Here is a 21,475-nt window from a genome sequence, read left to right as displayed (position 1 = left end):
ACTTTGGGAGGCCAATGGAGTCAGGATCTCTTAAACCCAGGTGTTCAAGACCAGCCTGGGCAACATTGCGAGACCCCATCTCTACAGAAAAACAAACAAACAAACAAAAACTAAAAATTAGCCGGGTGTGGTGGCGCCTGTCTGTGGTCCCAGCTACTCAGGAGGCTGAGGTGGGAGGATCGCTTGAGGCCAGGAGCTCAAGGCTGCAGTGAGCCGCGATTGCGCCACTGCACTCCAGCCTGGGCGTGCAGATCAGAGCGAGACCTTGTCTCTAAAGGAAAAAAAAAAAGAAAGAAAGAAAGAAAAGAAAAGAAAAGAAAACCTAGCGAGGTAGATAATTTTCCCTAGATCCTGCGGCCGCCGGACCACGAGGCCGGCGCTGTGCGTTGTTAAAAGGAGAATAGCAGATGGTGGCGCGCAGCCCCGCGAGGAGACATCCAGCAACGAAATCGGGAGATGGAAGGGACAGTGAGAAGGGGGGCCTGGCTGTGCGCCCCCGCCCGATGCCCCACTCCTCGCCGACGGGCGCCGGGCACCTGCGGGAAGGGCGGGAGAATCGCCGCTCCTTTCCCGCCGCGCCCTTTCCGCCCTCTCCCCGCCTCCTTTTCGGGCGTCCCGAGGCCGCTCCCCAACCGACAACCAAGACCCCGCAGGCCACGCAGCCCTGGAGCCGAGGCCCCCCGACGGCGGAGGCGCCCGCGGGTCCCCTACAGCCAAGGTAAGGCAGGAATCTCCTGGACTGGGTCGCGGTCCCCCGGCTTCCCGGAAGCGCAGTGCGCGGGTGGCATCACTGTGCCCGGAGCCCCTGCGCGCCCCGGCCATCCCCACCCCGAGGGACCCCCTACGGAGGCGACCTGGGGGCTGAGGTGAGCGCTTGGGCAGCAGCGACGGGGAGGGGTGTCCACCCCACCCCTGGTGCGGGCCGGGGCGCGCAGGCCTGGAACTCGGGGTTCAGACTCCCCGCGACTCGGACCACGCGGCTAAGCGCGCTCAGGGTCGCGTGCCCCCGCCCCGCCGCCATGCTGGGCGCCGTGGTGGCCGCGCAGCTGGGCGACAGCAGGCGTGGGCGGGGGTGGGGAGCGGCCCCTCAGCGGTCCCTACCGCCTGAGGCCAGGGCCCGGGGACTTTTATTGTGACACGGCGGGCGCCCGGCTCTGCTTAGTCATGGTGACCTGCGCGCGCTCCGCGCCTCCCCCACGCGCAGCGATGGAGGCGCCGGGGCTCGGGCGGTGGAGGCGGAGCCGGAGCGCGGCCATGGCGGGGTGAGTGAGGCGGGATGTGCCCGGGCTGCGGGCATCGCGGGCCGCGAGCGCCCCTGCGGCCGTGCCCGGAGACCAGGAAAACGGGCGCCACGGCCCAGGGCGCCTCCGAGTTCCCCGCCAGGACTCGGAGGGCCAGGAGGGCGCGACCTGGGTGGATATTTTTGTTGGACGGCGCAACTCTTGGGGTGGCCCGGGAGCGGCGGAAACCGAGCGAGAGAACCAGGAGGCGCTGCGCAGAAGGAGGCCCGGGGGCTCCGAGGCGTTGAGGGGCTCGATCTGCGTTCTGGGGTTGGCAGCCGAGAGGCCGCGGTGGGGTCACTTCCTCGCCTCACTGGGCCTGGTGGAGGCTCAGGAGGGGCATGCGCAGTCGCCCACTTGCCGCTTTGTAGGGTGGGGGAAGTGCCCGGTGCCCAAGGGGCATTGTTGACCGATTGGCCAAAGACCAAGAGGCAAACCCAGGGCCTTGGCACCAGAGTGGGGGCCGAGTGGCACCCAGGGAGGGTGGAGGAGGCCGCTCTGGCAGGCACGGTGGCAGGGCAGTTAGCCAACCACCCGTTTATTGACCCCTGCGCAGTGCCAGGCCCCAGGCGAGAGGCACAGGAGAGGGTTGGCCCGACGCCGACCTACATAGGTCTCCCTGCCATTTGAGGCGCTGGGGCCGGGGACGAGAGACAGTCGATCAACAGACAAGCAAAGGAGGTCATTTCAGTTCCTGACAAGCGCAGTGATGACAATAAAACAGGGAAGAGGAGACTTTGAGTTGAGTCCCAGAAAGAGGGGAGTGAGAACTTGCAGATCCACTTGTGGGGAGCCACTTGGAGATCCCCCACTCCTTTTGAAACGTAACTCACGTCTGGGCACAGCAGCCTATGCCTGTAATCCCAGCATTTTGGGAGGTCGAGGAGGGGGATCACTTGAGGCCAGGAGGTTGAGACCACCCTGGCCAACATGGTGAAATCCCATCTCTACTAAAAATACAAAAAATTAGCCCATCGTGGTGGCTGGTGCCTGTAATCCCAGCTACTCAGGAGGCCGAAGTATGAGAATATCTTTTTTTTGTTTTATTTGAGATGGAGTCTTGTTCTGTCACCCAGGCTGGAATGCAGTGGTGCGATCTCGGCTCACTGCAAGCTCTGCTTCCTGGGTTCACGCCTTTCTCCCGCCTCAGCCTCCCATGTAGCTGGGACTACAGGCGCCCGCCGCCACACCCGGCTAATTTTTTTGTATTTTTAGTAGAGATGGGGTTTCACCATGTTAGCCAGGATGGTCTCGATCTTCTGACCTTGTGATCCGCCTGCCTCGGCCTCCCAAAGTGCTGGGATTACAGGCGTGAGCCACCACGCCCGGTCGAGAATATCTTGAACTCGGGAGGCAGAGGTTGCAGTGAGCCAAGATCGCACCACTGTACTCCAGCCTGGGCAACAGAGCGAGACTCTGTCTCGAAAAACAAAACACAAAACACATAACTCATCTCCTGGCCCTCCAGGATCCAGGGGTTTCCATGAAACCCTTCCTTAAGTCCTTAGCTCTCACTGCACTCCTTCCCAATTCTCCAGATTGACTGTCTCAGCCTCTGAGCCACTGCACTTACTGTTTCCTCTGCCTGGAAAACTACTCCCCAGCCTCCCACTTTATAATAATTTTCATCCTTGTCTCAGCTCCAACCTCACCTTCTCAAAGAGGCTTGGTCTGCCAGATTTTAAAAAACTGCACCCCGGGTCAGGCATGGTGGCTTACGCCTGTAATCCCAGCACTTCGGGATGCCAAGGCGGGCGGCTCACTTGAGGTCAGGAGTTTGAGACCAGCCTGGCCAACATGGCGAAACCCAGTCTCTGCTAAAAATACAAAAACTAGCCGGGTGTGGTGGCGGACGCCTGTAGTCCCAGCTACTCGGGAGGCTGAGGCAGGAGGATCGCTTGAACCCGGGAGGCGGAGGTTGCAGTGAGCCAAGATCGAGCCATTGCACTCCAGCCTGGGTGACAGAGAGACTCCATCTGAAAAAAAAAAAAAAAAAAGCAAACAAACTGCACCCGATTCTCACGTTGTCACAATGCTGTTGTAATTTTCTTCATGAAGCTGTTTTTCCAGGTCTTGCTTATTTTAGTTTATGATTGCTCCTCCCTGCAGTTGTCAGCTCTGGCAGGGTAGGATTTTTGTATTTTGCTCACTGCTGTGTCTTCAGCACCCAGATCAGTGCCTGGCATACAGTAGGTGCCCAGTAAATGGTGAGGCAAATGAAGGAATGAGCTCAACATGCTCTAGAAAGGGAAAGGCCGCCAGATTGCTGAAGCAGAGTGATCAAAGGGAAGAGGTGGCAGGGGCTAATTGCGTAGGGCTTTGCAGGCTGTTGAGGAGTTCAGTTTTACTAGGTACTGTGGGAGGCATTGGAGGATCCAGAGCAGGGGAGAGACATGACTTCATGTATGTTTTAAGATGGGCTCTTGGGCCAATCAGGTTGATCAGGTCGGGGAAGTTTGCAAGTTTGCAAATGGATTCTGCTTCACCTACTTTGCAGGAAAACTGACCTAGGAATTGCTTTATCTTGCAAAACGAGGCCCGGCAGGTGCTGGCCCAGTCCCAACCCCTGCCCTCTGCCCTGTGCTCTCTCCCCTCCAGGTCCCTGAGTGCCAGAGGTGGTGGTGTTGCTTATCTTCTGGAACCCCATGCAGCCAGATCCCAGGCCTAGCGGGGCTGGGGCCTGCTGCCGATTCCTGCCCCTGCAGTCACAGTGCCCTGAGGGGGCAGGGGACGCGGTGATGTACGCCTCCACTGAGTGCAAGGCGGAGGTGACGCCCTCCCAGCATGGCAACCGCACCTTCAGCTACACCCTGGAGGATCATACCAAGCAGGCCTTTGGCATCATGAACGAGCTGCGGCTCAGCCAGCAGCTGTGTGACGTCACACTGCAGGTCAAGTACCAGGATGCACCGGCCGCCCAGTTCATGGCCCACAAGGTGGTGCTGGCCTCATCCAGCCCTGTCTTCAAGGCCATGTTCACCAACGGGCTGCGGGAGCAGGGCATGGAGGTGGTGTCCATTGAGGGTATCCACCCCAAGGTCATGGAGCGCCTCATTGAATTCGCCTACACGGCCTCCATCTCCATGGGCGAGAAGTGTGTCCTCCACGTCATGAACGGTGCTGTCATGTACCAGATCGACAGCGTTGTCCGTGCCTGCAGTGACTTCCTGGTGCAGCAGCTGGACCCCAGCAATGCCATCGGCATCGCCAACTTCGCTGAGCAGATTGGCTGTGTGGAGTTGCACCAGCGTGCCCGGGAGTACATCTACATGCATTTTGGGGAGGTGAGCGGGGAAGTGGGGCTGGGGGCAGTGTCAGGAGAAGGACCAGGGATGGACGAGTGCTCATCACTGTCTCCCCTTGAGATGTCAAGGCAGGAAACTGGAGAAAAAGGAGGTTCTGGGCTGGGTATGGTGGTGTAGTCTCCACAGTTTGAGGGGCTGAGGCGGGGGGATTGCTTCAGGCCAAGAGTTCAAGACCAGCCCAGGCAACATAATGACACCCTGTCTCTAAACAAACAAACACACAAACAAAAAACAACTGGGGCCGGGCGTGGTGGCTCATGCCTGTAATCCCAACACTTTGGGAGGCCGAGGCAGGTGGATCACCTGAGGTAAGGAGTTCAAGACCAGCCTGGCCCACATAGCTAAAACCCATCTCTACTAAAAATATAAAAATTAGCCAGGCCTGGTGGCGGGCGCCTGTAGTCCCAGCTGCTCAGGAGGCTGAGGCAGGAGAATCGCTTGAACCAAGAGGTGGAGGTTGCAGTGAGTGGAGATCGAGCCACTGCACTCCAGCTTGCGCAACAGAGCAAGACTCAGTTTCAAAAAAAAAAAAAATTAAAAAACAACTGGGGTTCTGAGTTCCTTGTCTACACATGTGGGGAGACTGGTGAACAGCTGGGGAAGGTGAGGTCTTCATATGTCTCTGGGCTCCCTGGTTTCTCTGGGGTCAAAGTGGGGCAGAGTGCAGTGAACAGCAGCCAAATCCTAGGGTAGCCCAGCCTTTCGGGCAGTCAGCAAATGTTTATTGGACACCCGTGACAGGCTGCAAGCTGTAAGTCTGAACCTTAGTCATGTTTTCTTTGGTCCACACAATGTCCTTATACTGTTTTTGGTTTCGTTTTCACATTTCTCAGTGAAGGAAATTATCTATAGAAATTGACAAGAGAGGGCAGGGCCCAGTGGCTCACGCCTGTAATCCCAGCACTTTGGGAGGCTGAGGCGGGTGGCTCACCTGAGGTCAGGAGTTTGAGACCAGCCTGACCAATATGGTGAAACCCCATCTCTAATAAAAATACAAAAAAAGAAAACTAGCCGGGTGTAGTGGCATGTGACTATAGTCCCTGCTACTCGAGAGGCTGAGACAGGAGAATCGCTTGAACCGGGGAGGTGGAGGTTGCAGTGAGCCGAGATCGCACCATTGCACTCCAGCCTGGGCGACAGAGCAAGACTCTGTCTCAAAAAAAAAAAAAAAAAAGCCTGGGCGCGGTGGCTCATGCCTATAATCCCAGCACTTTGGAAGGCCAAGGTGGGCAGATCACCTGCGGTCGGGAGTTCAAGACCAGCCTGACCAACATGGAGAAACCACGTCTCTATTAAAAATGCAAAATTAGCCTGGCATGGTGGCTCATGCTTGTAATCCCAGCTACTCAGGAGGCTGAGGCAGGAGAATCGCTTGAACCCGGGAGGCGGAGGTTGCAGTGAGCTGAGATTGCGCCATTGCACTCCAGCCTGGGCAATAAGAGCGAAACTCTGTCTCAAAAAAAAAAGAAAAAGTTTTTGAAGAGATGAGGTCTTGCTCTGTCCCCAGGCTGGAATACAGTGGTGCCATCATAGCTCACTGTAGCCTCCAACTCTTGGGCTCAAGGAGGCCTCCTATCTCAGCCTCCTGAGTAGCTGGGACTATAGGTATGCAGCACCACGCATGGCTAATTTTTTAGTTTTTAAATTTTTTTGTAGAGACAGGGTCTTGCTATGTTGCTGAGACTGGTCTCGAACCTCCTGGCTTTGAACAATCCTCTGGCTTTGGCCTCCCGTAGTGTTGGGATTACAGGTATGAAGCACCATACCAACACCAGGCCAAGAAGTGTTTATTGAGCACTTGCTGTGGGCCAGCCCCTGTTCTAAGTGATTTATGTCCTTTGCATCATTGACTGTTCCCAACTGTCCTATGAGGCAGTACTACCCTTCAGCCTAGGCAAGCAGGGCAGTGCCCCAGGCCCTAAGCCTTCGGGAGTCCCATGTCTTGGTGTTCCTTCCTGGAAATTTTCTAAGTCCCCCACTGGCTGGTACCAGCTGGGATGGATGTTACACTGATCTCTATTTCTCTCCTTCAGGGATAGATTCTTTCCTACCCTCTATGTTACATGTGGGGTTGATCAGACGCCCCAGGGTTCTCTGGCGTTAGTCCTAGGGCCTGCAGCTTCTAGGAAAGTGGTCTATACAGTAGGAGAAACATATACAGTGTTTCTTTCTTGTGTTTGTATGAACATGGGGTACTAGATTAAAACTGATTACATAGACGAGTGCCTGACAACTTTTTTTTTTTTTTTTGAGACGGAGTCTCACTCTGTCACCCAGGCTGGCATGCAGTGGCACTGTATCGGCTCACTGCAACCTCCATCTCCTGGGTTCAAGCAATTCTCCTGCCTCAGCCTCCCAAGTAGCTGGGATTACAGGTGCCTACCACTATGCCCAGCTAATTTTTAAAAAATATTTTTAGTACAGATGGGGTTTCACCATGTTGGCCAGGCTGGTCTCGAACCCCTGAGCTCAGGTGATCTGCCTGCCTTGGCCTCCCTAACTGTGCTGGGATTACAGGCATGAGACACTGCGCCCACGCCCGCCCCCCACCGCCCAGTCCTTTTTTGTTTTTGAGACTGAGTCTGGCTCTATCGCCCAGGCTGAAGTGCAGTGGCAAGATTTCGGCTCACTGCAAGCCTCCATGTCCTGGGTTCAAGCGATTCTCATGCCTCAGCCTCCGAAGTAGCTGGGATTACAGGGGTGCACCACCACGCTGGCTAATTTTTGTATTTTTAGTAGAGACAGGGTTTCACCATGTTGGCCAGGCTGGTCTGGAACTCCTTACCTCACGTGATCCGCCCACCTCAGCCTCCCAAAGTGTTGGGATTACAGGCTTGAGCCACCACGCCAAGCCCCCTTTTTTTTTTTTTTGGGGGTGGGGGACAGAGTCTCACTCTGTCATCAGGCTGGAGTATAGTGGCATGATCTCGGCTCACTGCAACCTCCGCCTCTCGGGTTCAAGTGATTCTCATTCCTCAGCCTCCCAAGTAGCTGGGATTATAGGCATGTGTCACCATGCCCAGATAATTTTTGTATTTTTTGTAGAGATGGGGTTTCACCATGTTGGTCAGGCTGGTCTTGAACTCCTGACCTCAAGTGATCCGCCCGACTTGGCATCCCAAAGTGCTGGGATTACGTGTGTGAGCCACCGCACCTGGCCTTTTTTTTTTTTTTTTCTTTTTTTAGAGACAGGGTCTCACTCTGTCACCCAGGCTGGACTTCAGTGGCACGATCTCTGCTTATCACAAACTCCAGCTCCTGGGCTCAAGTGATCCTCCCACCTCAGTCTCCTGAGTAGCTGAGACTACAGGCGTGAGCTACCATGCTTGGCTAATTTTTATATCTTTTCTTGGTAGAGATGAGGTCTCGCTATGTTGCCCAGGCTGGTCTTAAACTCCTGGGCTCAAGCAATCTTCCCGCCTTGGTCTCCCAAAGTACCAGGATTACAGGCGTGAGCCACCACACCTGGCTACAAGAAATATTTATCCAGGGCTCTGTATACCCTAGAAGTAGCCTTACTTTGAGGTGGCCATTAATATAATCCCATTTTACAGAGGAGGAAAACCAAGACATGGAGCATTTCAGAGATTTGCCCAAGTTACACACCTACGAAGTGGTCGGATCAAAATTCCAACTCATGCTGGTTTCTTCGGAGCTTCCACTTTTTTTTTTTTTGGAGATGGAGTCTCACTCTGTTGCTCAGGCTGGAGTACAGTGGCACAATCTCAGCTCACTGCAATCTCTGCCTCCTGGATTCAAGCGATTTTCCTGCCTCAGCCTCCTCAGTAACTGGGATTACAGGTGCCCACCACCACAGCTGGCTAATTTTTTTGTTTTTAGTAGAGACGGGGTTTCACCGTGTTGGCCAGGCTGGTCTCGGACTTCTGACCTCAGGTGATCCGCCTGCTTTGGCCTCCCAAAGTGCTGGGATTACAGGTGGGAACCACTGTGCTGGCCCAGAGCTGTCACTTGTTTTTTTCCACAACATTCTATTGTGATTGCTTATTTTTTCCTTTTTTAGTCTATTTGCCATTTTAGAAAATGATTTCATTTTAAAAAACAAGATGGGTGAGTTGGCTCGTGCGTATAATCTCAGTGCTTTGGGAGGCTGAGGCAGGAGAATCACATGAGCCCAGGAATTTGAGGTTACAGTGGCACCTCTGCACTCCACCATAGGTGACAGAGCAAGACCCTGTCTCTTAAAAAATAAACTCAGACATCCCATCTCTACTAAAAATACAAAAATTAGCCGGGTGTGGTTGTGCGTGCCTGTAGTCCCAGCTACTCAGGAGGCTGAGGCTGAGGCAGAAGAATCATTTGAACCCGGAGACAGAGGTTGCAGTGAGCCGAGATCACGCCACTGTATCCAGCCTGACGACAGAGTGAGACTCTGTCTCAAAAAAAAAAAAGAAACAAAAGAGGCCGGGCGCGTTGGCTCACGCCTGTAATCCCAGCACTTTGGGAGGCTGAGGCAGGCGGATCACGAGGTCAGGAGATCGAGACCATCCTAGCTAACATGGTGAAACCCCGTCTCTACTAAAAATACAAAAAATTAGCTGGATATGGTGGTGGGCACCTGTAGTCCCAGCTACTCGGAGGCTGAGGCAGGAGAATCGCATGAACCTGGATGGCAGAGCTTGCAGTGAGGCAAGATCGTGCCACTGCACTCCAGCCTGGGCGACAGAGCGAGACTCCATCTCAAAAAAAAAAAAAAAAGAAACAAACAGAAAACTCAGAGGCCAGGCGCGGTGGCTCAGGCCTGTAATCCCAGCACTTTGGGAGGCCGAGGCAGGCAGATCACCTGAGGTCAGGAGTTCAAGACCAGCCTGGTTAACACGGTGAAATCCCGTCTCTACTAAAAATACAAAAACAAAAATTAGCCGGGTGTGGTGGTGGGCGCCTGTAGTCCCAGCTACTCGGGAGGCTGAGGCAGGAGAATGGCGTGAACCCGGGAGGTGGAGCTTGCAGTGAGCCGAGATTGCACCCCTGCACTCCAGCCTGGGCGACAGAGCGAGACTCCATCTCAAAAAAAAAAAAAAAAAAAAAGCCAAGCCAGGTATGGTGATGCACACCTGTAATCCTCAGGAGGCTGAAGTAGGAGAATCATTTGAGCTCAAGAGTTTAAGACCAACGGCCGGACACGGTGGCTCATGCCTGTAATCCCAGCACTTTGGAAGGCAAGGGGGTGGGCCACTTGAGGTCAGGAGTTCCAGACCAACCTGGCCAACATGGTGAAACCCCGTCTCTACCATAAAAATATGAAAATTAGCTGTGCGTGGTGGCACACACCTGTAGTCCCAGCGACTCAGGAGGCTGAGGTGGGAAGATCGTTTGAGCCCAGGAGTTCAAGGCTACAGTGAGCTATGATTGTGCCACTGCACTACAGCCTAGGTGACAGAGCAAAACTGTGTCTCAAAAGCAAAAACAGGCCAGGTCCGGTGGCTCACGCCTGTAATCCTAGCACTTAGGGAGGCTGAGATGGGCAGATCACCTAAGGTCAAGAGTTCAAGACTGGCCAGGCGAGGTGGCTCACGCTTGTAATCCCAGCACTTTGGGAGGCCGAGGCGGGCGGATCACGAGGTCAGGAGATCAAGATCATCCTGGCTAACACAGTCACCCCGTCTCTACTAAAAATACAAAAAATATTAGCCAGGCACGGTGGTGGGCCCCTGTAGTCCCAGCTACTCGGGAGGCTGAGGCAGGAGAATGGCGTGAACCCGGGAGGTGGAGCTTGCAGTGAGCCGAGATAGCGCCACTGCAGTCCGGCCTGGGCAAAAGAGCGAGACTCCATCTCAAAAAAAAAAAAAAAAAAAAAAGAGTTTGAGACCAGCCTGGCCAACATGAAGAAATGCCATCTCTACTAAAAATACATAGTGAAACTCCGTCTCTACTAAAAATAAATACAAAAAAATGGCCGGGCGCGGTGGCTCACGCCTGTAATCCCAGCACTTTGGGAGGCTAAGGCGGGTGGATCACAAGGTCAGGAGATCGAGACCATCCTGGCTAACACGGTGAAACCCCATCTCTACTAAAAAAATACAAAAAAACTTAGCTGGGCGTGGTCGCGGGCGCCTGTAGTCCCAGCTAATCGGGAGGCTGAGGCAGGAGAATGGCGTGAACCCAGGAGGCGGAGGTTGCAGCAAGCGGAGATCGCTCCACTGCACTCCAGCCTGGGCGACAGAGCAAGACTGTCTCCAAAAAAAAAAAAAAAATTAGCTGCTCTGGAGGCACACTCCTGTAATCCTAGCTACTTGGGAGGCTGAGGCAGGAGAATCACTTGAACCTGGGTGGCGGAGGTTGCAGTGAAGCAAGATCACACCACTGCACTCCAGCTTGGGCAACAGAGTAAGAATCCATATCAAAATAAAATAAAATAAAATAAAAATTAACGGGGCATGGTGGTAGGTGCCTGTAATGTCAGCTACTTGAGAGGCTGAGGCAGGAGAATTGCTTGAACCTGGGAGGCAGAGGTTGCAGTGAGCCTAGATCATGCCACTGCACTCCAGCCTGGGTGACAGAGTGAGACTCTGTCTCAAAAACCAAAGCCAAATGATACCCCAGGGTACACGATCTACTGAGTCTTTGCCCATTTTCCTGAGTCCTGATGACATACTTGGCACATAGTATTAACTCTTTTTTTTTTTTCTTTGAGACAGAGTCTTGCTCTGTCGCCCAGGCTGGAGTGCAGTGGCGCAATATCGGCTCACTGCAACCTCCGCCTCCCGCCTCCCGGGTTCAAGCGATTCTTCTGCTTCAGCCTCCCGAGTAGCTGGGACTAGAGGCGTGTGCCACCACACCCGGGTAATTTTTGTATTTTTAGTAGAGATGGGGTTTCACCATATTGGCCAGGCTTGTCTCTCAACTCCTGACCTCGTGATCCGCCAGCCTCGGCCTCCCAAAGTGCTGGCATTACAGGCGTGAGCCACCGCGCCCGGCAGGATTAACTCATTTAGTCATCACAATGTACGCGGTTCCTATTATTTGAATCCCCATTTAGCAGATAAGGAAGCTGAGACTGTCAGCGGCAGTGATAAGTTACTTGTCCCGGTCCTGCTTGGTGAGGTGTGGGGGTGACTGGAGAGTCAGCCCGTCCCACTGTCGCCCTCTGCAGGTGGCCAAGCAAGAGGAGTTCTTCAACCTGTCCCACTGCCAACTGGTGACCCTCATCAGCCGGGACGACCTGAACGTGCGCTGCGAGTCCGAGGTCTTCCACGCCTGCATCAACTGGGTCAAGTACGACTGCGAACAGCGACGGTTCTACGTCCAGGCGCTGCTGCGGGCCGTGCGCTGCCACTCGTTGACGCCGAACTTCCTGCAGATGCAGCTGCAGAAGTGCGAGATCCTGCAGTCCGACTCCCGCTGCAAGGACTACCTGGTCAAGATCTTCGAGGAGCTCACCCTGCACAAGCCCACGCAGGTGATGCCCTGCCGGGCGCCCAAGGTGGGCCGCCTGATCTACACCGCGGGCGGCTACTTCCGACAGTCGCTCAGCTACCTGGAGGCTTACAACCCCAGTGACGGCACCTGGCTCCGGTTGGCGGACCTGCAGGTGCCGCGGAGCGGCCTGGCCGGCTGCGTGGTGGGCGGGCTGTTGTACGCCGTGGGCGGCAGGAACAACTCGCCCGACGGCAACACCGACTCCAGCGCCCTGGACTGTTACAACCCCATGACCAATCAGTGGTCGCCCTGCGCCCCCATGAGCGTGCCCCGTAACCGCATCGGGGTGGGGGTCATCGATGGCCACATCTATGCCGTCGGCGGCTCCCACGGCTGCATCCACCACAACAGTGTGGAGAGGTGAGTGGCAGGGCCTGGGGGTGGGCTCGGAGGGTCCTGCTCCTGGCAAGTCCCAAGACACTGAGATCCGGGTATTCTTCCTGAGGCTGTTTCCTCTTCCTGTCTTCAGGGAGTGGAGGCCTCAGGATGAAGCTAAGCTCCTTGGAGAGTTCTAGTCAGTGACCTTTGATTCTGTGCCTGGGGCTGGGAAATGCTTAGGGGACTGTCACAAACCCATATGGTTCCTTTGTGCGGAGTTGGAAAATGTTCCATCAGTTTGAAATTGTTGGGCTAGGCACTGTGGCCCATACCTATAATCAGGGACTTTGGGAGGCTGAGGTGGGAGGATTGCTTGAGTCCAGGAGACTAGCCTGGGCAATAGAGTAAGACCCTGTCTCTCTTGCTCTGTTGCCCAGGCTGGAGTGCATCTTGGGTCACTGCAACCTCGCCTCCCAGGTTCAAGTGATTCTCCTGCCTCAGACCCTGGGGTAGCTGGGACTACAAGTACCCACCACCACGCCTGGTTAATTTTTGTATTTTTTGTAGAGATGGGGTTTCACCATGTTGGCCAGGCTGGTCTTGAACTCCTGTCCTCAAGGGATTCTCCCACCTCAACCTCCCAAAGTGCTGCGATTACAGGTGTGAGCCACTGTGCCGGACCTAAAGGACTCTTTGAGCATCAAAGAGTGATGCTGAATGTGTGATTTCTCCTTTCTGAGATGTTATCTTGTTATCTGTGAAGTGGGGGATCTGGCTGAGCCACTAGGGGTTTATCAGATGTGTTTTTGAACTTGAGCAATTGATGGCTAGGAGGCTCAGTTTTGTCATTTGGAAAATGGAGTTGCTGATACCTCAATCCTTGGAGAACAACTGCAAGCACTAGAGTTCGAGTGGAGGTGGGCACGGTGGTGTGCACCTGTAGTCCCAGCTACTCAGGAGGCTGAGCCAGGAGGGTTCCTTGAGCCCAAGAGTTGATAGCTGCAGGCTGGGTGTGGTGGCTCATGCCTATAATCCCAGCCCTTTGGAAAGCTGAGGCAGGCAGATCACTTGAGGTCAGGTGTTTGAGACCAGCCTGGCCAACATGGCGAAACCCAATTTCTACTAAAAATACAAAAATTAGCCGGGCGTGGTGGTGGGTGCCTGTTATCCCAGCTACTTGTGAGGCTGAGGCTGAATAACTGCTTGAACCCAGGAGGTGGAGGTTGCAGTGAGCCATGCTCTCACCATTGCACTCCATCTCAAAAAAAAAAAAAAAAAAAAAGTTTGAAGCTTCAGTGATTGCACCACTGCACTCCAGCCTGGACAACGGAGCAAGACCCTGTCTCTTTTTTTCTTTTTTTTTTTTTGAGATGGAGTCTCGCTCTGTTGCCCAGGTTGGAGTGCAGTGGCATGATCTCAGCTCGCTGCAACCTCCGCCTCCCAGGTTCAAGTGATTATCTCGCCTCAGCCTCCCGAGTAGCTGGGATTACAGGCATCTGCCATCACACCCAGCTAATTTTTGTACTTTTAGTAGAGACAGGTTTTTACCATGTTGGCCAGGCTGGTCTCAAACTCCTGAGCTCAGGTGATCCGCCCTCCTCGGCCTCCCAAAGTGCTGGGATTACAGGCATGAGCCATCGCGCCGGATGAACCTGTCTCTTTAAGGGGGAAAAAAAAAAGGAAAAAAAAGAGTATCTGGCCCTTAAGTATTCCACGAAGGTCAGCTATAATGGCCATTGTCCCCATTTTTCTTACGCCCTTGCAGGTATGAGCCAGAGCGGGATGAGTGGCACTTGGTGGCCCCAATGCTGACACGAAGGATCGGGGTGGGCGTGGCTGTCCTCAATCGTCTCCTTTATGCCGTGGGGGGCTTTGACGGGACAAACCGCCTTAATTCAGCTGAGTGTTACTACCCAGAGAGGAACGAGTGGCGAATGATCACAGCAATGAACACCATCCGAAGCGGGGCAGGTGGGTGGGGACGGTAGGGAGGGGAGCACCCAGGAACACCCCCTACCATCCTGGGGTGAAACTGAGCCAGGCCTGGGAGAGACCCCCTGTTGCAACCCTCATGCTGGGGTAACCACAGAAGCCCTGGATTCTGATAGAGTCCAAGCTTCTCTCTCTCCCCGCTTCATTTCTGAGGGTGAGAAGGGAGAGGAGAGAGGAAAGGTCTCCCTCAAGGAGGTGATGGCTGGGGTTCCCAAAGCCAGACCCCCAGAGTCACCTTCTCTGCATGGTGCCCTTTAGGCGTCTGCGTCCTGCACAACTGTATCTATGCTGCTGGGGGCTATGATGGTCAGGACCAGCTGAACAGCGTGGAGCGCTACGATGTGGAAACAGAGACGTGGACTTTCGTAGCCCCCATGAAGCACCGGCGAAGTGCCCTGGGGATCACTGTCCACCAGGGGAGAATCTACGTCCTTGGTGAGGCCCTGGGGGCGGGGAAGAGTCCTGACTAGCCCATCTTTTGTGGACTGCTTTTGCTTTTGCTTTCCTTTTTTTTTTTTTTTTTTTTTTTTTTAGAAACAAGGTCTCGCTCTGTTGCCCAGCTGGAGTGCAGTGGTGTGATCACAGCTCGCTGGAGCCTCAACAGCCTGGGCTCCAGCCATCCTCCTGCCTCAGCCTCCCAAGTAGCAGGGACCACAGGCGCGCACCACCACACCCGGCTAATGTTTTTTTTCTTTTGAGATGGTGTCTCACAGTGTTGCCCAGGCTGGAGTGCAATGGCATGATCTCAGCTCACTGCAACCTCCACCTCCTGGGTTCAAGCGATTCTCCTGTCTCAGCCTCCTGAGTAGCTGCGACTACAGGCACATGCCACCACACCAGGCTAATTTTTTGTATTTTAGTAGAGACAGGGTTTCACCATGTTGGCCAGGATGGTCTCGAACTCCTGACCTCGTGATCCACCTGCCTCGGCCTCCCAAAGTGCTAGGATTAGAGGCATGAGCCACCGCGCCCGGCCTGTTTTGTTTTTTGTTTTGTTTTGTTTTGTTTTGTTTTTTGAGACAGAGTCTCAGTCTGTTGCCAGGCTGGAGTGCAATGGCACGATCTCAGCTCACTGCAACCTCCGCCTCCTGGTTTCAAGTGATTCTCCCCCATCAGCCTCCCAAGTAGCTGAGATTACAGGCGCCTGCCACTATGCCCAGCTAATTTTTGTATTTTAGTAGAGATGGGGTTTCACCATGTTGGTCAGGCTGGTCTTGAACGCCTGACCTCAGGTGATCTGCCCACCTCAGCCTCCCAAAGTGCTGGGATTACAGGTGTGAGCCACCGCGCCCAGCTTAATGTTTTTGTTTATTTTTATTTTATTTTATTTTATTTTTTTGAGACAGAGTTTTGCTCATGTTGCCCAGGCTGGAGTGCAATGGCGCAATCTTGGCTCACTGCAACCTCTGCTTCCCAGGTTCAAGTGATTCTCCTGTCTCAGCCTCCTGAGTAGCTGGGAATACAGGCACGTGCCACCACGCCTAGCTAATTTTTTTTTGAGATGGAGTTTCACTTTCGTTGCCCATGCTGGAGTGCAATGGCTCGATCTCGGCTCACTGCAACCTCCACCTGGCAGGTTCAAGCGATTTTCCTCCCTCAGCCTCCCGAGTAGCTGAGGTTACAGGCATGCGCCACCACGCCCGGCTAATTTTGTATTTTTAGTAGAGAAGGGTTTTCTCCATGTTGGTCAGGCTGGTCTCGAACTCCTGACCTCAGGTGATCTGCCCGCCTCGGCCTCCCAGAGGGATGGGATTACAGGTGTGAGCCACCATGCCCGGCCAATTTTGATTTTTAGTAGAGACGGGGTTTCACAATGTTAGCCAGGCTGGTCTTGAACTCCTGACCTCAGGTGATCCACCTGCCTCAGCCTCCGAAAGTCCTGGGATTACAGGCATGAGCCACTGTGCCCGGCCTTTATTTTATTTTATTTTTATTTTTTTATTTTTTGTTTATTTATTTATTTATTTATTTTGAGGTGGAGTCTTGCTCTGTCACCAGGCTGGAGTGCAGTGGCACAATCTCAGCTCACTGCAACCTCCGCCTCCCGGGTTCAAGCGATTCTCCTACCTCAGTCTCCCAGGTAGCTGAGATTACAGGCGTGCATCACCAATCGCATCTAATTTTGTATTTTTAGTAGATACAGGGTTTCACTCTGTTGGCGAGGCTGGCCTCGAACTCCTGATCTCAGGTGATCTGCCCGCCTCGGCCTCCCAAAGTGCTGGGATTGCAGGCATGAGCCACCGCGAGTGGCCTATTTTCCTATTTTTATTTATTTATTTTGAGATAGGGTCTCACTCTGTTGCCTAGGCTAGAGTACAGTGGTGCAGCCTCTGCTCACTGCAACCTCTGCCTCCCAGACTCAACTGATCCTCCCCACCTCAGCCTCCCTAATAGCTAGGACTACAGGCGCGCACCACCAAGCCTGGCTAAATTTTTATGTTTTTTTGTAGAGATGGGGCTTCACCATGTTGCCCAGGCTGGTCTCAAACTCCTGGACTCAAGTGATCCACCCACCTCAGTCTCCCAAAGTGCTGGGATTATAGGCGTGAGCTACCAAGCCTGGCCATTTTTTTTTTTTTTTTTTTTTTTTAGTAAGAGACTAAGGTTTTGCTATGTTGCCCAGGCTGGCTTCGAACTCCTGGCCTCAAGCAATCCTCCTGCCTCAGCCCTGCAAAGTGCTAGGATTATAGGCGTGAGCCACCACGCCCGGCCTGCTTTTGCATCTCACAGCTGCATCTCTCTCTTTCTGTCCCCTGCTCTTGGATGTGGTGTGACAGGTGGTGACCATCCCTTCTGTTCTTCCCGCAGGAGGCTATGATGGTCACACGTTCCTGGACAGTGTGGAGTGTTACGACCCAGATACAGACACCTGGAGCGAGGTGACCCGAATGACATCGGGCCGGAGTGGGGTGGGCGTGGCTGTCACCATGGAGCCCTGCCGGAAGCAGATTGACCAGCAGAACTGTACCTGTTGAGGCACTTTTGTTTCTTGGGCAAAAATACAGTCCAATGGGGAGTATCATTGTTTTTGTACAAAAACCGGGACTAAAAGAAAAGACAGCACTGCAAATAACCCATCTTCCGGGAAGGGAGGCCAGGATGCCTCAGTGTTAAAATGACATCTCAAAAGAAGTCCAAAGCGGGAATCATGTGCCCCTCAGCGGAGCCCCGGGAGTGTCCAAGACAGCCTGGCTGGGAAAGGGGGTGTGGAAAGAGCAGGCTTCCAGGAGAGAGGCCCCCAAACCCTCTGGCCGGGTAATAGGCCTGGGTCCCACTCACCCATGCCGGCAGCTGTCACCATGTGATTTATTCTTGGATACCTGGGAGGGGGCCAATGGGGGCCTCAGGGGGAGGCCCCCTCTGGAAATGTGGTTCCCAGGGATGGGCCTGTACATAGAAGCCACCGGATGGCACTTCCCCACCGGATGGACAGTTATTTTGTTGATAAGTAACCCTGTAATTTTCCAAGGAAAATAAAGAACAGACTAACTAGTGTCTTTCACCCTGGCTCTGGGCTGGAGGCCTGAAACCGGGGGCCAGAAAGGGCTCTTCTTCTGAAACACACTCCTCTTTGACTTAGGGCTGGTATTTGAAACCAGTTTGTAATCTTTGCCCATCGCATTTTTATATGTAGGGCATCTTTCTCCCCGTAGGCAAGCCACACAGTTGTCCTTCAGTTTCAGCTGCCTTGGAAGACAAGCAGCTAATTCCTAGTCACATCTCCTAGGGCTCCCCAAGGTCATTTTTTTTTTTTTTTGAGATGGAGTTTTGCCCTTGTGGCCCAGGCTGAAGTGCGATGGCGGGATCTCAGCTCACTGCGACCTCTGCCTCCTAGGTTCAAGTGATTCTCCTGCCTCAGCCTCCCGAGTAGCTGGGATTACAGGCATGTGCCACCACGCCTGGCTAGTTTTGTATTTCAGTAGGATTTCTCCATGTTGGTGAGGCTGATCTCAACTCCTGACCTCAGGTGATCCGCCCACCTCGGCCTCCCAAAGTGCTGGGATTACAGGCGTGAGCCACCATGCCCGGCCTACTTTTTTTTTTCAAGACGGAGTTTTGCAACCTCCTCCTCCAGGGTTCAAGCGATTCTCCTGCCTCAGCCTCTCGAGTCTCTAGGATTACAGCTGCGCACCACCACACCCAGCTAATTTTTGTATTTTTAGTAGAAACAGTGTTTCACCATATTGGCCAGGCTGGTCTCGAACTCCTGACCTCAAGTGATCCACCCACCTTGGCCTCCCACAGTGCTGGGATTATAGGCATGAGCCACCACGTGCAGCCTGGTAAATTTAGACACAACCAAAGGTATCACCCTTTTCCTTCCTCAATAGTTCTTCTCTTTCAAGTTTTTCTTTTTTTTTCCCAGAGACAAGGTCTTGCTCTGTTGCCCCGGCTGAAGTGGAGGGATAGTAGCTCACTTCAGCGTTGAATTCCTGGGCTCAAGTGATCCTCCCACCTCAGCCTCCTCAGTAACTGGGACTACAGACATGTGCCACTATGCCCAGCTAATTTTTGTATTTTTTATAGAAATGAGGTTTTGCCTTATTGCCCAGGCTGGTCTTGAACTCCTGGGCTCAAGGGATCCCCTGACTCGGCCTCCCAAAGTGCTGGGATTACAGGTGTGTGTCACCTTGCCTTGTAATGTAGTATTATTTACTTAGGAATGAGTTAAGTACTGGAAACCTGAAATGCTGAAATTGGGCAGAATTGTCAAGACTGTTGACGTTAGAATGATCATGATAACATTTCACAGCAGACCACTTTAGTTGTATAATTTAAAATTCATGGCTGGGCGCAGTGGCTCACGCCTGTAATCCCAGCTCTTTGGGAGGCCGAGACGGGCGGATCACAAGGTCAGGAGATCGAGACCATCCTGGCTAACACGGTGAAACCCCGTCTCTACTAAAAATACAAAAAAAAAAAAAAATTAGCCGGGCGCAGTGGCTGGCGCCTGTAGTCCCAGCTACTTGGGAGACTGAGGCAGGAAAATGGCGTAAACCCAGGAGGCAGAGCTTGCAGTGAGCCAAGATCGCGCCACTGCACCCCAGCCTGGGCTACTGAGCGAGACACCGTCTCAAAAAATAATAATAATAAATAAATAAATAGATAAAATTCATAGGCTGGGCCAGGTGTGGTGGCTCCTGCCTATAATCCCAACAGTTTGGGAGGCCAAGGTAGGTGGATTGTTTAAGCTCAGGAGTTGGGAGGCCAGCCTGGACAGCGTAGTGTGACCCTGTCTCTACTAAAAAATACAAAAATTATCTGGGGGTGCTGGTGCACGCCTGTAATCCCAGCTACTCAGGAGGCTGAGGCACGAGAATCACTTGAACTCGAGAGGCAGAGGTTGTGGTGAGCCAAGATCGCGCCGCTGCACTCCAGCCTGGGCAGCAGAGTAAGACTCTGTCTCAAAAATAAAAATAATAAATAAGTAAAATTCACAGGCTGTCCAGGTACAATGGCTCATGCCAGTAATCACAACTCTTTGGGAGGCTGAGGCGGGAGGTGACTTGAGCCCAGGAGTTTGAGGCTGCACTGAGCTATGACTGCACCACTGCACTCTAGCCTGGGTGACACAGCAATACCCCTGACTCTAAAATAAAATAAGGCTGGGTGTGGTGGCTCACGCCTGTAATCCCAGCACTTTGGGAGGCTGAGGCAGGCGGATCACCTGAGGTCAGGAGTTCAAGACCAGCCTGGCCAACATGGTGAAACACTGTCTCTACTAAAAATACAAAAATTAGCTGCCCGTGGTGGCATGTGCCTGTAATCCCAGCTACTCGGGAGGCTGAGGCAGGAGAATCGCTTGAACCCGGGAGGTATAGCTCTGGGATGAATACCCTCAGGGCAGAGTCAGGAAGTTCCATCTAAAAGGCAGACAGCACCCTCTTGTGGGCCTCTGGGTGAAAGAGGCCCAGAGAAAGAAAGTTAGAAAAGGAACTATTTCCAGAGAAAGAAAGTTAGAAAAGGAACAAGATTGGATGAGCTCCTGGCTTGTTCCTATTTTTAAAAGTAGCATTCTCCGGGCCAGGTGGGGTGGCTCACGCCTGTAATCGCAGCAATTTGGGAGGCCCAGATGGGTAGATCACCTAAGCTCGGGAGTTCTAGACTAGCCTGACTAACATGGAGAAACCCTGTCTCTACTAAAAATACAAAATTAGCCGGGCGTGGTGGCACATGCCTGTAATCCTAGCTACTCGGGAGGCTGAGGAAGGAGAACCGCTTGAACCCGGGAGGTGGAGGTTGTGGTAAGCCGAGATCTTAACCACTGCACTCCAGCATGGGCAACAAGAGCAAACATCTGTTTCATTCTTCAAAACTTTGGACCAAATGATATTTCTTATAAATCAAATAAAAGTGCACATGCTTTGAGGGAGTTCCCTATTTAAAGGACTCGCCCTCCTGCAAGCACCAGCACCCTATCCACTGCTCAGGGTTGTAACTAATTTTATGGCGCAAACTTTTTTTTTTTTTTTTTTGAGACAGAGTCTCGCTTTGTTGCCCAGGCTGGAGCGCAGTGGTGTGATCTTGGCTCACTGCAACCTCTGCCTCCTGGGTTCGAGCGATTCTCCTGCCTCAGCCTTCCAAGTAGCTGGGACTACAGGCATGTGCCACCATGTCCCGCTAATTTTTGTATATTTAAGTAGTGGCAAGATTTCACCATATTGGTCAGGGTGGTCTTGAACTCCTGACCTCGTGATCTGCCCGCCTCAGCCTCCCAAAGTGCTGAGATTACAGGCGTGAGCCACCGCGCCCGGCCTGTGGTGCCACCTTTTATTTATTTATATTTATTTTATTTATTTTATTTTTTTTGAGACGGAGTCTGGCTCTGTCACCCAGTTTGGGGTGCAGTGGCGCAATCTCGGCTCACTGCAAACTCCGCCTCCCGGGTTCACGCCATTCTCCTGCCTCAGCCTCCCGAGTAGCTGGGACTACAGGCGCCTGCCACTACGCCGGGCTAATTTTTTGTATTTTTAGTAGAGTTGGGGTTTCACCGTGTTAGCCAAGATGGTCTTGATCTCCTGACCTCGTGATCCGCCCGCCTCGGCCTCTCAAAGCGCTGGGATTACAGGCGTGAGCCACCGCGCCCGGCCGGTGCCACCTTTTAAAGCAGGAACACTCTTTTTAGACTACATGTCCCAGGAT

The 21,475-nt window shown here is 53.3% G+C and overlaps 1 protein-coding gene across 2 annotated transcripts, besides 7 other annotated features; it reads left to right on the top strand.

The window, feature by feature from the left end:
- Positions 588-1,207: a silencer, noted in NCBI's record as "silent region_10078". NCBI's record gives its function as "represses an Ori minimal core promoter by ATAC-STARR-seq in GM12878 lymphoblastoid cells {active_cell/tissue: GM12878}" and the evidence as "EXISTENCE:reporter gene assay evidence [ECO:0000049][PMID:35858748]".
- KEAP1 (kelch like ECH associated protein 1) lies at positions 603-17,834 on the top strand. 2 transcript variants are annotated; one of them, NM_203500.2, is made up of 6 exons: positions 603-718; positions 3,879-4,564; positions 11,697-12,382; positions 14,106-14,311; positions 14,591-14,767; positions 17,141-17,834. In NM_203500.2, the coding sequence occupies exons 2-6, from the start codon at positions 3,926-3,928 to the stop codon at positions 17,305-17,307; spliced, it is 1,875 nt and encodes a 624-aa protein (NP_987096.1). In that variant the 5' UTR covers positions 603-718; positions 3,879-3,925; the 3' UTR covers positions 17,308-17,834. The 2 variants fall into 2 exon arrangements, with proteins under 2 accessions (NP_987096.1, NP_036421.2); NM_012289.4 differs by lacking the exon at positions 603-718 and adding an exon at positions 1,188-1,262.
- Positions 1,218-1,497: a silencer, noted in NCBI's record as "silent region_10077". NCBI's record gives its function as "represses an Ori minimal core promoter by ATAC-STARR-seq in GM12878 lymphoblastoid cells {active_cell/tissue: GM12878}" and the evidence as "EXISTENCE:reporter gene assay evidence [ECO:0000049][PMID:35858748]".
- Positions 1,218-1,891: a biological region, named in NCBI's record as "H3K27ac hESC enhancer GRCh37_chr19:10612744-10613299".
- Positions 1,336-1,891: an enhancer, noted in NCBI's record as "H3K27ac hESC enhancer chr19:10612744-10613299 (GRCh37/hg19 assembly coordinates)". NCBI's record gives its function as "activates a minimal SCP1, AML or CMV promoter by ChIP-STARR-seq in primed H9 embryonic stem cells {active_cell/tissue: H9 hESC(primed)}" and the evidence as "EXISTENCE:reporter gene assay evidence [ECO:0000049][PMID:30033119]".
- Positions 1,868-2,117: an enhancer, noted in NCBI's record as "active region_13974". NCBI's record gives its function as "activates an Ori minimal core promoter by ATAC-STARR-seq in GM12878 lymphoblastoid cells {active_cell/tissue: GM12878}" and the evidence as "EXISTENCE:reporter gene assay evidence [ECO:0000049][PMID:35858748]".
- Positions 3,612-3,906: a silencer, noted in NCBI's record as "tiled region #8442; K562 Repressive non-DNase unmatched - State 14:Gen5'". NCBI's record gives its function as "represses a minimal TATA promoter and a strong SV40 promoter by Sharpr-MPRA in K562 cells {active_cell/tissue: K562}" and the evidence as "EXISTENCE:reporter gene assay evidence [ECO:0000049][PMID:27701403]".
- Positions 11,540-12,040: an enhancer, noted in NCBI's record as "H3K27ac-H3K4me1 hESC enhancer chr19:10602595-10603095 (GRCh37/hg19 assembly coordinates)". NCBI's record gives its function as "activates a minimal SCP1, AML or CMV promoter by ChIP-STARR-seq in primed H9 embryonic stem cells {active_cell/tissue: H9 hESC(primed)}" and the evidence as "EXISTENCE:reporter gene assay evidence [ECO:0000049][PMID:30033119]".
- Positions 17,835-21,475: the final 3,641 nt, after the last annotated feature.

The sequence above is a fragment of the Homo sapiens genome, chromosome 19 (assembly GCF_000001405.40).
Source record: "Homo sapiens chromosome 19, GRCh38.p14 Primary Assembly".
Classification (NCBI taxonomy): domain Eukaryota; kingdom Metazoa; phylum Chordata; class Mammalia; order Primates; family Hominidae; genus Homo; species Homo sapiens.
This window is presented reverse-complemented; position numbering and strand designations above follow the sequence as displayed.